The sequence below is a fragment of the Homo sapiens genome, chromosome 10 (assembly GCF_000001405.40).
Source record: "Homo sapiens chromosome 10, GRCh38.p14 Primary Assembly".
In the NCBI taxonomy this organism is placed as follows: Eukaryota; Metazoa; Chordata; class Mammalia; order Primates; family Hominidae; genus Homo; species Homo sapiens.
In genome coordinates, this window is record NC_000010.11 from 7,819,239 (window position 1) to 7,836,739 (window position 17,501).

Here is a 17,501-nt window from a genome sequence, read left to right on the forward strand (position 1 = left end):
TTTTCTCCCTTGCCCGCAAACTACTACAACTAGTTGTCACAGGCGCTCCGTCTACCGGCCGTTTCTTACAAGACTGGCCATTCCTGGGCTCCTAACTACATAGACTCGTTGACAGCTCTGCTCCGTTAGGGACACTGCCTCGTCTTTCTGTATCTGTTCGTTTCGTGAACGACATCTCCATTTACTGTTTTTCCAAGGCTGACTTTGTCAGTTTCGCTGATTAGATGTACTTTCACTTACGTCTCGGTTACCAGTGAGATGTCAGTGGCTATCGAAGTAGGATAGAGGGACCGTGGGCAGTTGACAAGATTCTCCAGGTAATCTGGGCTACAGTACTTATGAGTTTTAAATGAATGTCTGGTAATATCTATAGCTAGTGGTATTTAATAATTTAATGGAAGGAATGGAATATTTTAATAGAAGCTCCACATTATCTTGTTGATGTGAAGCATTGTATGTGTGTTTGTTGAGGAGAGGAAACTACCACTCATTTTAGTTTCAAGTCATGATGTTTAAGGTGGTGAGCTGGAGAACTGAATGAAGTGTTTCATAGGATATTTTGTTTTGTTAAAGTGGTTCCTATACTGGAAAATTGAGACTCACAGACACACGCTGTATTTCTTAGGCCCCAAGTTTCGTTCCCGCTTCCACAGGGCTGCCAAAATAATCTGTCCATAGCACAGATCTGATCCTGTCATTATTCTTAAAAACATTTTAACTATACTTCGTTGGTTACAGGCTAAAAATCGAAACTCTTAGCAGTACACAGTTCCCTTTGTGAGCTAGCATTTTGCTTACCTTTTGCCAGCCTGCCATGCTAATCTGCGACCACGCTGAGCTACCTGCCTTTTCCAAAATGTTTTAAGCTGTCCATTCCTACATGCGTGCTGTTTCTTACCTAGAGTGTCCTTTGCCCGTGGCCCACCAATAGTATTACTTTTATTTTCAGATGCACTTATCACTTGCTCTAGGGAACTCATGTTATCTGCTTTCATAATTCTGTGCATATTTCTTTTATATTATTTGTCATCTTGTTTTGTAATCACCTGTGTATGTCTCTTTCCCCTCTCCAGGAGAAAAATTGATTATATTTGTATTCTGTAACCTGTAGGGCCATTATATAATAGGCACCTGAGAAATATTTGTTGAATAAATGAATGAACTGATAAACCACTACCCTAAAAGCCACTTATTGACTTTACATATTGAGTTCCAAAAATGTATATGTTTTGAATGCTTGATTTCACTGATACTTCTATTACTCTTCTTCTTTTGAGACAGGGTCTCACTCTGTCGCCGAGCGTGGAGTGCAGTGGTGCGATCTTAGCTCTCTATAGCCTCGAACTTCAGGGCTCAAGTGATCCTCCCGCCTCAGCCTTCCAAGTAGCTGGGACTACAGGGATACGCCACCATGCCTGGCTAATCTTTTTATTTTTTGTAGAGATGTGGTCTGGTTATATTGCTCAGGCTTGTGTCAAACTCCTGGGCTCAAGTGATCCTCCTGCCTCAGCATTTCAAAGTGCTGGGATTACAGGCATGAGCCACCATGCCCAGCTCACTGATACATCTGAATGTGGAACCACAAAGTAATATGCGTGCATTTTTATCTTGAAAGTACATCACCAGCTGACTACTCTTCTGGCTTTTGTTTCTTTTTCCTCTGGCCTCCGCTGCAGTGGTCCTTGAGTATACCGTTAGTGATAGGCTAGGCTAGGCTAGGCTAGGCATAGTCCAGATTATGTTTGCTACCATGTATCTTTAGATATTCAAAATGTCTCCTGAATACATAGTTACCTTTACTGCCATTTATACAAAACAGAAGGGAGCTGCCACTCTATGTGACTAGGTATTCCAAAGTCATCCAGGGGTCACTGCAGCTCTTCAGTGTAAACCTTGTTCCTAATTACCAAGTTTCCGTAGCCAGTTTCTTGGTTTCAGTGAGAATGAGATTGTCAGGTTCATTATTCCCACGTAATTTGGTGACTTTTTTTTAATGCTAATTTTGGTATACTTATTAGATATTTTTAGATTCTTTTTTCTATACCAGCCTTATTCTAAAATCAAATTCTGTAGCTCCAGGTTACCACTATGGAATCTTGTATTCCACCCCTTTAAATCCTTTCTGTTGTTTTAACAAACACTTACTGAGCATCACTTACGAACCAACCCCTGTACTAGGCATTGGAGACATAAAATTACTAAGATACAATCCCTGACCATAAGGTGTGTTCAAGAGTTCCAGAATGTCAGGAAACAACAAACTGATGGTGTTTGTTTCTTCTAAAAGAAATGTTCTCAAGTTAAAGCAAGTATTAGAAGTTACCATTAATTCAAATAATGAACAAATAATGAACTTAAGAATTGCCTTAGGGTAACAATGTCTCCAAGCATTCAAGGGCAGATGTCTCTGTCGGTGTCACATTATATGTTAAATATGTTGGCATGTACTGAAAGCAGGTGCTAAATCTTTCAGACTGACTCTTCAACACTAGTACTGTAATATTTTTTTGCATGGTACAGGGAGTAAATGTAAAAGGGATAAGAGGAGAGATGGCTGTAGGCTATAGATTCTGGGGTAGGATTACTTCACAGAAAAGATAAGATTTGAGTTGAGCTGTGAAGTATGGTTGTATAAAGGTATAGAGTATTCCAGCTTAGAGAATCACATAAACTAAGCTGTCCAGGTGAGATTAAGCATAATAAAAGTACCAGTAAGGTGTTCAGCTCCCTATGCAGCTAGTTCATTCCAAGGGTGTCTGAGTAAAATGTTCAACAGAGTGAGATCAGGTTATGGAAGGACTTGAAAGCTAGACAAAAGAATTAAAACATGTAGTAGAAAACATTGCATACTCCTAAGTAGGGGAATAGTATGATTAAAGTGGTATTTTAAGAAAATTGTACTGACAGTGATGTGCATAAGAGATTGAAGTGGGCAGAACTTGAGACTATACTGAGATAGTGACAGTAAGAATAGAGAGAAAGGAAAAAAATCTGAAATCATGGTTAAAAAAAAAAAAAAAAGGTGGCCGAAGGGGACGGGGACAGGGTTAGAAACTACCAGGTTTTGGTTTGAGGCTGCAAAGCATATGGAGGAATTTAAGATTATTATATTTTTTAGACTGAGAGAGTAATAATAGCTTTAATAGGAATAGAAGAGATGAAATGCCTGTTTACATTCAGTAAGAAGAAGAGTATTCGTTTTATTTATTTTCTTTTTTTAATGCATCACAGAAGTAACCCATACTTATAGAAAAAAAAAATCAAAGACTGCAGAAGTATGTGGAGTTAGAAGTCAGTCTCCTGCTTCCACCACAGCCCTCGCCTCTACTGCAGCTTCCACCCCTCGAACTGTTAACCATTGGCTGAATATCCTTCCAGAGGTTTCTGTATGCATTACTACACATGCGTCCAATTCTAGCAATATTTGGATTCTTTTTCATTTTACAGTGTGATTTAATTTCAGACATACTGAGTTTGAAGTGATCAAATTTCAGGATTTCAGTTAAAAAGTCAGGATTTCAGTTAAATCCTTTAGGCTATTGAAAATCAGAAAATGGAATTTTCATAGACATTTTTAAAGATGTAGAGACCTTAAGCTCTGCTAAGAATAGGCATAAGAAAAACTTGCTTTTGTAAAGAAAAAAATCTCTATATCTAACTTTTTATCTCTGTTTTATGTGGTGTTTTCTAATTACATTTGAAAATTTATAGATAAATTATCTTTATGGCTAGGCATGTTGGTGGTGCACTGGTAGTCCCAGCTACTCAGAAGGTGAAGGTAGGAGGATGGCTTGAGCCTGGGAAGGTAAGGTTGCAGTGAGCCATGATTGCCCTTCTGCACTCCAGCCTGGGCAGCAGAGTGAGACCCTGTCTCAAAAAACGAACAAAAACCAAACTTTTATGATCTAAGCCTTCTTTGTAAATATTCTTAGATTTTAAAAATTGATTTAATGGTATAATTCATTCAATAGGTATTTATTGAGTGCCAGCTATGTGCCAGCCACTGTTTAAGATTCTGCAGATGCATCAGGGAACAACAGAGGAAATGTAACCAACATTGACTTTGTCAGCACAGCACACTACTTATTTGATGATTAAAAAAAAAAAAAAGGCCAGGCACATTGGCTCATGCCTGTTATCCCACCACTTTGGGAGGCAGAGGCAGGAGGATTGATTGAGGCCAGGAGTTCAAAACCAGCCTGAGCAACATAGCAAGAACTCATCTCTACAAAATTAAAAAAAAAAAAATTACCCAGGCATGGTGGCATGTGCTTATAGTCCCAGCTACTCAGGAGACTGAGAGGGGAAGATCGCTTGAGCCTAGAAGTTTGAGGCAGCAAGGAGCTGTGATCATACCACTGCACTTCAGCCTGGGCAACAAGCAAGATGCCATCTCTTTTTTTTTTTTTTTTCTGAGATGGAGTCTTGCTCTGTTGCCCAGGCTAGAGTGTAGTGGCACGATCTCGGCTCACTGCAACCTCCGCCTCCTGGGTTTGAGCAGTTCTCCTGCCTCAGTCCCCTGAGTAGCTGGGATTACAGGCCTGCGCCACCACGCCCGGCTAATTTTTGTATTTTTAGTAGAGACGGGGTTTCACCGTGTTGACCAGGTTGGTCTCGAACCCTTGACCTTGTGATCCGCCCACCTCGGCCTCTCAGTGCTGGGATTACAGGCGTGAGCCATCGCGCCCAGCTAAGATGCCATCTCTTAAAAAAAAAAAAAAAGACAAAACACTATTTTATTATTATTATTTTTGGGGCATTTTCTGTGTGTCAGGTGCTGTTCCAGATGCTTTTGATCATCTGTAAACTACTTTGAAATTTGTTCTATAATAGCTAATCATGAATGTGGTTTTTCTGTGGTGTTCTGGCTAGTTGTCTGATTATATTTAAACTTGACTTTAATAATCAGCTTAAACATGATTCTGTGATACTCTTTAAAATCTATTAAATTCTTTCCAATAACTAGGTTAAAATGTTTGATTCTGAGCTGCATATTTACTTACTACTTTTTCTTAATATTTAAAAATATATTCGTGGGATTTCTTCAAATAATTTGATTTGCTTTTCACTTTGTTTCAGATGGCCGAACAGACCCAATTTTGGATGATGTTGGTGAAGCTTTCCAGCTGATGGGGGTTAGTCTACATGAACTAGAAGACTATATTCACAACATTGAGCCTGTCACCTTCCCACACCAAATTCCGTCATTTCCTGTTAGCAAGAACAATGTACTTCAGTTTCCTCAACCTGGAAGTAAAGATGCAGAGGAAAGAAAAGAATACATTCCTGATTACCTGCCACCCATTGTGTCTTCTCAAGAAGGTTTGTGAGTGTTTCTTCTTCATATGTTAGTGATTATTTTAATGGATTTTTAATCCTCTTAGCTTTCCATGCTATGTCAACTTTATAAATTCTGGAAACACAATAGAAACATTTACTGTTACTTACAAATTATTCTAACCCTTAAACCAACAAACTTGCAACTGACATTACCAAGCCGAGTCACGGTGTAATCAAGGTCATGTCTGAAGCATTTATCTCCTTTGTAAAGTTCAAGTAGAGGAAAACAGTGAAGCCAAAGAGAAGCCTTTCAACAGCCCTATTATATGAGAATGGGATATTAGGTAAATTAGAAAACATTTGAAACAAAAAGAAAAATTGGGGTAGCTCTTTTCCTCCTCGCTTATTATTCAGGCCATGAGTTGAATGCCATGGCTTTATACTGGAAACAGTGAGTGAATCGTGAGTATTCAGTGACATTGTGTAGACTTCTGTTTTTTATCATGAGGAGCAATGTTTATTGTTTGATCATATAGAACTTTTGATTATAAAATGATAGCTAATCAGGTATAATGGTCAGTCCAATTGCAGAGTTCCCTTTTTTCCTGCATAATTTTAGATGTTGATCACTAAGTTCACTAAGATTCTAAGGAGATATTTAAGTAATTTCTGGTCTCTAACACAAGTACACGATATTTTTTCTTATAAGAGTTGGAAAAGTTGCAATAAGTTCTTTCATTTTGTAAAAAATTCTAAAACCTGTATACTTCAGGACAATGCAAATGATGCCAGCAATTACTTTTACTTATGATTTTCTATTGTAAAATATACATAACATAAATGGACCATTGTAAAGGTGTGCAGTTCTGTGGCATTAAGTATACATTGTTATTCAGCCATCATCCCCATCCTTCTCCAGAACTTTTGTTCCCTCCCAAATTGAAACACTGTTCCCATTAAACATAACTCCCCATTCTCCACCACTTCCAGCCCCTGGCAACCACCATTCCTTTTTTTGTCTCTCTGAATTTGTCTATTCTAGGTACCTTTTATAAATGGACTTGGACATTATTTGTCTTTTTATGACTGGCTTACTTCACTTAGTATGATGTCTTCAGGGTTCATTCATGTTGTAGCCTGTGTCGGGATTTCGTTGTGTGTTTCGTTGTGTGTTTAAGGCAGAATAATATATGTACATTCCACATTTGTTTATCCATTCACTCACTGATGGACATTTGGGTTGTTTCAACCTTTTGGCTCTTGTGATTAATGCCGCTATGAACATCGATGTGCAAATCTCTGTTCAAATTCTTGCTTTCAGGTGTTTTTTTTTGGGTCTGTACCTTGAAGTAGAATTGCTGGATCATATAGTAATTGTCTATTTAATTTTTGAGGAAGCACCACACTGTTTTCCACAGTGGCTGTACCATCTAAGCTTCCTATCAGCAGTGCCCAAGGGTTCCAATTTCTTGCAATTCATTTCTTAGAATCGGTTCTACTTTAATAGCATTTTGAAGTGTTACCTATTTGTCTCAGGAAGTATGTTTAAATTTGGCATAAGTTGTTGTACAGTCTGTGTGTCAGGGTTGCCTCATCTGAAAAACTGGACAGCTACTGGACCTAAGTGGTAGGGATTTGTTGTGAATTGGTGGCTCATCATTTAGGTGCTCTGGATCTTAGCTGCAGTGGGTTCTACTGAATGATACTAACACACCGACAGCCCAGAACCAAAACTAGGACTTTGATCATAATCTACACTTAACTATTTGGTCCTTCTTGTCTTATTTTTATAGCATGCAAATATTCCATAATAAAATTCTCTTAAAGTGCTATGGTTATCATATTTAAATACTAGCAAGGAAATGTAACTAAGATAACAGGTTTAGATTAGGTAGTGAAGAAGTATGAAAAACAATTTAGTGTTTTTTTTGTTTTGTTTTGTGTTGTTTTGATACTGACTTCTGGCTGAAATTACTATATTACTATAGATTTTTGGGTTTCTTTTCTGGGTTATTTGAAGCAAAAAAAGAAACTCATTTAGTTTTATGCAAACAATATAAATTATAAACATTTTAAAAGGAAAATAACAAATCTTGAGAACACTACTTTTCACTTTTTATCTAACACATGTGGATTAAGAAGGAAAAATATTGCTGATTTGTAATATATGCATATGGTTTATAAGGATGCAGTAAGTGGTAGGCAGTACAGTAAGATGCTTGTCAAAACGTTCTCCTCTTCATAAGAAAAGGATATAAAATGCAATTCTTTGGTTACCATTTAAAAATATAACCATACAAGACCATTTCTTGTCATTTACAATCTGAAATATTTTTTTTTCATGGGTACAGCATGTTAGAAAGTTCCTGGTATTCTGATTAGTGGTGCAAAGTGAGGTACAGAGGTGAACCCCTTTGATAATGATGCTGTTCACCATGCTCTTTATTTTCCTTTTATTTCCTTAAGAGCCACAGACAGGCCAGACTTTGGTCTTAAAATATTATTAGCAAGGTCCTTCCATGGGGTTCCCTCTTATCAGCCACTCAGCTTGGTTCATGTCAAAAAAGCCTGTGAAAGTCTCCCTCCACAGCAGCTGGAGCTGGCGAGTGTGCACACATAGAAGGCCTGAAGGGGCAGCAGGCTGTGAGAGGCACAGCGTGGACCTCACGGCATCACTGAGACATGACTCAGCGAGTCACTGAGTTTCTGGTCTTCCCAAGTCACTTTACCTTTCTGAACTTTATATTCATCTGTAAAATAAGTGTAATAACACCTACCACATTGGGGAAATGGAGAATCAAGTAATTTTTTTTTGTTAACACATTTATATAAAATTGGACAGTGTTTAACATATAAAATACATAACAGTGGGCCAGGTGTGATGGCTTATGCACTTTGGGAGGCTGAAGCTTGAGCCCAGGAGTTTGATACCAGCCTGGGCAACGTCATGAGACCTCATCTCTACTAAAAATAAAAAACTTGGCTGGGCGCAGTGGCTCACGCCTGTAATCCCAGCACTTTGGGAGGCGGAGACGGGCGGATCACGAGGTCAGGAGATCGAGACCATCCTGGCTAACACAGTGAAACCCCGTCTCTACTAAAGATACAAATATTAGCTGGGCGTGGTGGCGGGTGCCTGTAGTCCCAGCTACTCGGGAGGCTGAGGCAGGAGAATGGCGTGAACAGAGGAGGTGGAGCTTGCAGTGAGCCGAGATTGTGCCACTGTACTCCAGCCTGGGTGACGGAGCGAGACTCTGTCTCAAAAAAAAAAAAAAAAACAAAAACAAAAACTTAGCTGGGCATGGTGGTGCACGCTTGTAGTCCCAGCTATCAGAGTCTGTGGTGGGAGGATCAGTTGAGCCCAGGGGTCAAGGCTGCAGTGAGCTATGATCACACCACAGCACTCCAGCCTGAGTGACAGCGAGACCCTGTCTCAAAAAAAAATAAAACACATGACAGCGAATATTAGTTCTCGTCCCCTTTTTCTTTTCTTGCTCTTAAATAATTTACTTTTGAATTGAAATACAATATACATTAGTGAAGTCACGCTATAAGGGGAATCGGTGTCAAGCTGCATTCAGTGGCACACCCATAGTCCTAGCTACTTGGAAGGCCAAGGCAGGAAGATCGCTTGAGCCCAGGAGTTTGAGGCTGTAGTGCGCAATGATTGAGCCTGTGAATGCCCACTGCACTTCAGCCTGGGCAACATAGCAGGACCCTGTCTCTGAAAAAAAGAGACGAATCAATGTAAAGTAGTGTTACCATCACGTGCTGAGGATCTGAGGGAACAGACTTACTAGCTGGGCTGGATAGGTACTTGACTGAGGAGCTGTGTGATTATCCGCAGTGTGAAGATGACAGATGAGGAGATGATGTGGAAGGAGTTATTGCCTGCTTTATCTGATTATATGTTTAGAAGTGAGACCTCTTTGAAAATATTTTATACATGCATATTTTTGCTTGGACTGTTACAGTTCTGATGGCTGGTACCCAGTGTGTTTTATCCAAGAACATTCTCTCCCCAGCTTGCCATACATATTTTCAGATTCACACCAATACCATATTTTTTTGCTTCCTATTTTATTGTGCTGAGGAATGTCTGAAAATAGTACAGCGTACTATGCCAAAGTCATTGTTGGTTCTCACAGTGTGGTCTCTAGATCACTGGTCAATGGGGGTCTTCTGGGGGGGTCTGTTGATTGGTTCAAAATATTTGCATAAGAAAGAAATATAGGCTGGGCGCAGTGGCTCACACCTGTAATCCCAGCACTTTGGGAGGCCGAGGTGGGCGGATCACTTGAGGTCAGGAGTTCAAGACGAGCCTGGCCAACATGGTGAAACCCTGCCTCTACTGAAAATACAAAAATTAGCTGGGTGTGGTGGTGCCTGTAGTCCCAGCTACTCGGGAGGCTGAGATGGGAGAATCACTTGAATCCGGGAGGCAGAGGTTGCAGTCAGCCGAGATCGTGCCACTGCACTCCAGCCTGGGTGACAGAGTGAGACTCCGTCTCAAAAAAAAAAAAAAAAAAAAAAAAAAAAGGAATATAAACCATGTACCCTGACTTATTGCAGGAAACTTACCAAGCTCAACTTAAACTTGGTAAAGATACTGTGAGGTTGCCACTTTTAGAGTTTCTATTTTTTAAAATTTAAAATAGACTATTTTTTAGAACAGTTTTGATTTACAGAAAAAATTGAGAAGTTAGTTTGGAGAGTTCACTCACATCTGAACCATTTCTTCTGTTATTAACCTTTTACGTGACTATGGTACGTGTATCACAATTAATGAACAATATTGACATGTTATTATTAAGTGACGCCCGCACTGTATTGACATTCCTTAGTTTTTACTGGATGTCCTTTTTCTGTTTCTGGATCCCATCCAGGATATCATATTGTGTTTGGTTGTCACGTCTCCTTAGACTTTTCTTGGCTGTGACAGTTTTTCAGACTTTTCTTGTTTTTGACGACCTTGACAGTTTTGAGGATTATTGGTTAGGTATATTGTCGGATGCCCCTCTAGTGGAATTTTTCTGATGTTTTCCTCATGATTAGACTGGGGTTATGAGATCTTGGGGAGAAAGACCACAGAGGTCAAGGGCCATTTTTATGACATCATATCAAAGGTCTATCCTGTCATCATAATTTATCACTGTTGATATTGATGGTGATCACATGGCTGGGGTAGTGTTTATCTGGTTTCTTCACAGTAAAGTTTCTCTTCTATCCCCTCTTCCCCTACTGTGCTCTTTGGAAAGAAGTCACTGTGCGTAGCCCGCCCTTAAGGAATGGGAGTTATGCGTCCCGCTTTGAAGGTGGAATATCTGCATATGTTGTTAGGAACTCTTCTGCATGGGGATTTCTCTCTTTCCCCACTAAGATTTCTATTTTTATTATTAAACCCTTTAAAAGTAAACATTTACATGTTTGAAAAAATTAACAAAAGTAATACAAACTTGCTGAAAAAATATATTGCCAAGTGAATTCGTTATGAAATGGAAGTGTCTCTTCACTTCCCTTCCTCCCCCTTCCCAAGAATAACCTAGTTGGCAGATGGGGCTCCTCTGCATCTTCCCGTGTGACCTTTTGCACTCCTTGGACTCAAGAATCTATGTCCACTTCAGTACCTGCCATTTCTTTCTCAAGCTCCTGCCATCCTTTTCTTGAAGCAGTTCTTGCTGTGAACACCAATTACTATCTAAATGGTTGATCTGAAGGAAATTTAAACCCTTTCTCCCAGTTCAAGAAACAGAACTTTACCAGCTATCTCAGAATAGCTTCTATGTGCCCAACCCCACCCCACCCCTTCCTCCCTCCCTCCAAAAATAACCAACCACTGTCCTGACTTTGTAGGAATTACTCCTTAGCTTTATAGTTTTATCAGCCAAATGCGTATCCCTAGACACATTAATTTAATGTTCTTCACACATGCACACCTTTTTCACTTTACATGTCTTTTTTTTTTTTTTTTTTTTTTTTTTTTGAGAAGGAGTCTTGCTCTGTCACCCAGGCTGGAGTGCAGTGGCGCAATCTCGGCTCACTGCAAACTCCACCTCCTGGGTTCAAGCGATTCTCCTGCCTCAGCCTCCCGAGTAGCTGCAATTACAGGTGCATGCCACTGTGGCTGGCTAATTTTTGTATTTTTAGTAGAGACGGGGTTTCACCATGTTGGCCAGGCTGGTCTGGAACTCCTGACCTCAAGTGATCCGCCAGCCTCGGCCTCCCAAAGTGCTGGGATTCCAGGCGTGAGCCACCCCGCCCAACCATGTCATTTACCTTTTAGTTTGTGACTCTCCTTCCATTCCTTTCTTTGTCTTACAGTTTATTTGTTAGAAATCTGGGTTGTTTGATCTGCAGAGTGCCCCACAGTTGGATGTTGCGCATTGTGCACTCATAATGCAGCTCAATGTGTTTCTCAAAATTGGCAGCAAGAATCTGAGGCTTGACCAGATTTAGGTTTGGCAAGATATCAGCTGATGATGTCCAGTTTTCACTTTTGTTGGTGTTAGCAGTGCTGATGCTCAGTGCCTAGATCCATTAATTCATTAGGGGTTACAAAGTAATGATAATACTATCACTTTGTTTTTATTTCATTCTTTAGTTGAAATAACTTTATAAGAAAATCCTTTTCCTCATCCACTATTTAGTAACTTAATGGCATAGTTTATATAGGGAAAGCAGGGTTAACGCTTGATTTTTTTCATATGGTATATTCCCAGTTTTCATGAGAATAAATTGGTTCCTTGTTATCCTTAGCAGGTGACTAGTTTCATTTAATACTCTATCATTGTGAACTCACAGATTTAAACATACTTGACGGATTTCATTCATTACTTTTTTTTTTTGAGATGGAGTCTCACTCCATCGCCGAGGCTGGAGTGCAGTGGCTCAATCTTGGCTCACTGCAACCTCTGCCTCCCAGGTTCAAGGGATTCTCCTGCCTCAGCCTCTCCAGTAGCTGGGATTACAGGCATGTGCCACCACGCCCGGCTAATTTTTGTATTTTTAGTAGAGGCGAGGTTTCACCATGTTGGCCAGGCTGGTCTTGATCTCCTGATCTTGTGATCCTCCTGCCTCGGCCTCCCAAAGTGCTGGGATTACAGGAGTGAGCTACCGTGCCCGGCCTCATTACAGTTTTTTACCCATATTGTAGCTTTAATTGTTGCATCTTTGGCCAGTGGCAGCTTCTTCACTCTTGCTTCTGAGTCCTTTTGACACATGACCCGAATTGGCTTTGGTGACGTCCTCACCTTCTGGTATATCAAAATGTTCTAGACTCAGCATGTATAGTCATGTTCTATGCTTGGTATAAATTATCTGTCCAGGAAACCCTGGTTTCTTGGAAAGTAGTATTTCTTTTCTTTTTTTAATTTTAATTTTTTTTAATTATAAAATTTCAGGTTACATTTGTATATATCTGGGGGGTGCAAAGCGATGTTATGTTTTATAAATACAATGTGGAATAATTAAGTCAAGCTAGTTAACATACCTGTCACCTCAAATGCCTATCGTTTTTTGTGGAGAGAACATTTAAAACTTACTCTCTTAATGATTTTCAAATGTGTAATACATTATTATTTTTCTTTTTCACCATGCTGTGCAATGTATCAAAAAAAGTACTCCTCCTGTCAGATTGAGGCTTTGTACCCTTTGCCTATCATCTCTGTATCCCCACATCCCCACATCCCCTGCCCCAGCCTCTGTAACCACTGTTCTACTCTCTGCTTCTTGGAATTTGGTTCTTTTCGTCCACATATAAGTGAGAACATGTGGTATGTCTCCTTCTGTGCCTGGCTTACTTCACTTAGCAGAATTGTTTGAATTCCATCTATGTTGTCACAAATGACAAAATTTCCTTCTTTTTTTAAAGGCTGAATAATAATACTTTTTAATTTTTATGGGTACACAGTAAGTATAAATATTTATGGAGTACATAAGAATTTTAATAAAAGCACACCACAATGTGTAGTAATTACATCAGACTAAATTGGATATTTACCACCTGAAGCATTTATCATTTCTTTCTTATTTATTTATTTATTTTTGAGACAGTCTCGCACTGTCACCCAGGCTGGAGTGCAGTGGTGTGATCTCAGCTCACTGCAAGCTCCATCTCCTAGGTTCAAGTTTAAGTGATTCTTGTGCCCCACCCTCCCCAGTAGTTGGGATTACAGGTGCCCACCACCACACCCGGCTAATTTTTGTGTTTTTAGTAGAGATGCGATTTCACCATGTTGGCCAGGCTGGTCTGAAACCCCTGGCCTCAAGTGATCTGCCCACCTCAGCCTCCCAAAGTGCTGGGATTACAGGCATGAGCCACTGCACCTGGCCCAGCATTTATCATTTCTTTGTGCTACAGATATTCCAGTTATACTCTTTTAGTTATTTTTAAATGTACAGGGTGCAGTAGCTCACACTTGTAATCTTGTCACTTTGGGAGTCTGAGGCAGGAGGATGATTTGAGGCCAGGAGTTCGAGATAAAATGTTCAATAAATTATTGTTGACTTTAGTCACCCTGTGGTGCTATTAAAGGCTGAATAGTATTCTGTGGTGTATATATATTACATTTTCTTTATCCACTCATCTGTTAATGGACACTTAGGTTATTTCTGTAACTTGGCTATTGGGAACAGTGCTGCAGTGAACTTGGGAGAGCAGAATCTCTTCCACATAATCTTTTCAAATCTTTTGGGTAAATACTCAGGAGTGGGGTTGCTGGATTATATGGTAATTCTATTTTGAGTTTTTGGAGGAAACTCCACATAGTTTTCCATGACTACTAATCTAAATTCCCACCAACAGTGTACAAGGATTCCCCCTTTTCTCCACATCCCTGCTAACACTTGTTACCTTTCATCTTTTTTATAGCAGCCATTCTAACAGGTGTGAGGTAATATCTCACTGTGGTTTTATTTCTGTAATGATTAGTAATGTTGAACATTTTTTCATGTATTTGTTGGCAGTTTGTATGTCTTATTTTGAGGAATGTCTATTCATTTTTTATTGGATTATTTCTTTCTGTAGGGTTTTCTTTTTTCCTTTTTTGGGGACCCAGCAATACTGCTGATTTATTACAAGTCCCCAAGAGGGCTTCAGTTTTTCTTTTCAACATCCTGTTCTGTAGCTTCCATGTCTCTTTTTGTCCATATGTGGAGGAGCCAGGCATTGGCACGGGCCATGCAGCAACTAGCAAAGGCTCTGAAATTCTTCTCCTCAGTGGTGACTTGAGCTTTCTCCTTCTCATAGACATTCTGGATGGGCATGACTGGTCCTGTCAGCTGGGTGGCCAATTGCAGTTCTTCAGCAGAACTGTCTCCCTTCCTGGGGACCGAGGGCTTCCTGGGGAAGAGGATGAGTTTGGAGCGGTACCCCTTCAGCCGCTGCACAGTGCGTGTGGAAGTGGGGCTTCAAGATCTTGCCATTCCCGCTGGGCACCATGGCTGCCTGCTGTCCTCCGGCACAGGACAACAGCCAGACTGTTCTTTCTATAGAGTTGTTTGGGTTCCTTATATATTTTGCCTTTTTTTTTGGTGGTGGTTGTGGCTCTTGTTGTTGTTGAGTTGCTTACATGTTTTGGGCGTGAGCCCCTTGTCAGATGTGTGGGTGCACGTGTTTTCCTCCTCACCCACAGGTTGTGCCTTCACTCTGCTGTTTCCTTTATTGTGCCAAAGCTTTTTATTTTGATGGAATCCCATTTGTTCAGTTTTGCTTTTGTCACCCTGCGCTTTTGGGGCCAAATATAAAAAATAATTGCCCAGACCAGTGTCTTACAGTTTTTCCCCTATGTTTTCTTTTAGCAGTTTTGTAGTTTCAAGTCTTACATTTAGGTCTTTATTCCATTTTGAGTTGATTTTTCTAAGTGGTATGAGATAAGGATCCAATTTCATTCTTCTGCATATGGATATCCAGTTGTCTCCACGCTGGGAAATAGCATTTCAAGTACACAGTCTCGGTGCTAAGGGATACTTATTATATATAACTCGGTTGTTCATTGTTTCTAGGCAATAAGTAAATAAATATTTATATACATGTAGATGTGTGTGAATAGATAGATAGGTGGATAGGGTTCCTCCTGAGTTCATGCAGATTTTCCAATTCATATTTAGGACTACAAGGTTTTTATTTTTTATGTTACATCCATAAATACTGTCATCCATACTGAGAATTCTGGTTCTCAGGAATAAAGAAGATGATAAAATTAGAATATTCCATAATTATTCATTTGCTTTATCCCAGATTACACGTACAATATTGCAACTGATACTATCATTCATGATTACTGAAACAGGTAAAAAAAATTTTTTTTGCTCATTCTGTCCTATGAAACCAATTTTCTTTCATTTTACCGTGTGTATCTTGTCAGATCATATAGCTACTGTCTTGAGTTCTGCTACCTAATTTCTGAGTTTTTTCTGATTTTGATTTATATACTTTCATGTCTTTTAGATCATTTCAAGATAGAACATTATAGGTTCATCAGTTTTTTCGAGTGTGTGTTTCTCTCGTACTTTCATTGTCTGGAGGGATGTTTTGCTATTTAGTCTTCTCTTCTTTATAGAAACTATATGTGAGTTAGTTTTCTGAGCCTTTAGAACACAGGTGTCCAATCTTTTGGCTTCCCTGGGTCACACTGGAAGAAGAAGGATTGTCTTTGGCCACACATAAAATACACTAACACCATCGATAGCTGCTGAGCTAGAAAAAAAAGTCACACACAAAAAAGTCATAATGTTTTAAGAAAGTTTACAACTTTGTGTTGGGCTGCATTCAAAGCCGTCCTGGGCCGCATATGGCCCATGGGCTGTGGGTTGACAAGCTTGCTTTAGAAGGAGATTCAGGGTAGCTCCTCTGACTTTGCAGTGCTCCCTCTTCTATCGTTTTTGCGGAATGTTCCAAATATGGGAACTTGCTCACTGAGATTTTTTGTTTGTTTTCCTCCACCACTTTTACCTGGATCTTCTCTTCCCTTCATGTCAGTTTTCCTTTTTCTGGCCAGCTGTGATTCCACTGCCAGCTGTGTCCTCTCAGCGAGGCTCTGTCCTGGCAGAGAGCAGCCAGGGTCAAGTCTGAGAGCTCCTGGGCTCAACTTCTAGCCCCATTGGATCTCACTCAGCCCCTTGTACTCCCTGTACTGGAAGTGGTCCCATCCTTCCCAGCCTCAGCCGCTCTTCTCGGGTTGGCCTGCCGGGCTTTCCAGCAGAGGCCTGGTGGCCCTTTTGGGGTTTTCCTGTTTCAGGTCAGTCTTCCCGTTGCTTCTCACTGTTTCCCTTGCATAGATGCCTCATACTCGGGTCTCATGGCGCTTGGTGGCATGTTGTCACCTGCATGTATTTTGGCACTGATGGGTGTACTCTGTCACCTGGTTATGTTGGGAAGATGCACAAACTACCTTGCCCCAGCTACCACTTTCTTCCCAGGATTCCCCTTATTGAAGCTTTTTGCTGCTTTCATCACTGTTGGGCAATTCCTGAAGCTGCTTTTCTTCAGCGCCATCATACTCCCTTAACTCTCCTTATATGATGAGCTCCATCTTGGGGCCTTTCTTGGGCACGTCTTCCCTGGCTCTCCTACTGCTAAAACATTGGTGCTTCTAAAATTTTATCCTTCACCTACTATGTTTCTCACGTTACTTAGTTTCAGAGTTGACTTTCCTACTCTCATAGTTTGAACCCCCATCTGTATGCTGATGCCTCCCCAAACTGTCCCTCTACATCCACCTCTCAGACCCTGCAACCAGTTGCAGTTGGCCATTTCCACGTTTTCTTTTTTCTTTCTTTTTTTTTTTTTTGAGACGGAGTTTCGCTCTTGTTGCCCAGGCTGGAGTACAATGGCACAACCTCCGGCTCCCTGGTTCAAGTGATTCTCCTGTCTCAGCCTCCCGAGTACCTGGGATTAGAGGCATGAGCTACCAAGCCCAGCTAATTTTGTATTTTCAGTAGAGACGGGGTTTCTCCATGTTGGTCAAACTGGTCTTGAACTCCCGACCTTGGGTGATCTGCCCACCTTGGCCTCCCAAAGTGCTGGGATTACAGGCGTGAGCCACTGCACCCGGCCCATTTCCACATTTTCTTACCACGAATACACCTGTGTTATCCATCTCAGTTGGTGGCACCATCTCTACTCAGTCACCTAAGCTAGAAACATGAGAATTAGCATTGACCTCTTCTCTCATTCTCCTTCATTCCCTATCTCTAATTCTGCTAATTTTCTTTCTTAAAAA

General features: G+C 40.4%; 1 protein-coding gene across 2 annotated transcripts in view; it reads left to right on the forward strand.

The window, feature by feature from the left end:
* TAF3 (TATA-box binding protein associated factor 3) overlaps window positions 1-17,501 on the forward strand; it is a 198,127-nt gene that overhangs the window by 734 nt on the left and 179,892 nt on the right. For both annotated transcript variants that reach the window (NM_031923.4, XM_011519741.2), the window contains exon 2: window positions 5,080-5,322. In NM_031923.4, the coding sequence (NP_114129.1) occupies window positions 5,080-5,322 (243 nt within the window). The remainder of the gene's footprint in view (window positions 1-5,079; window positions 5,323-17,501) is intronic.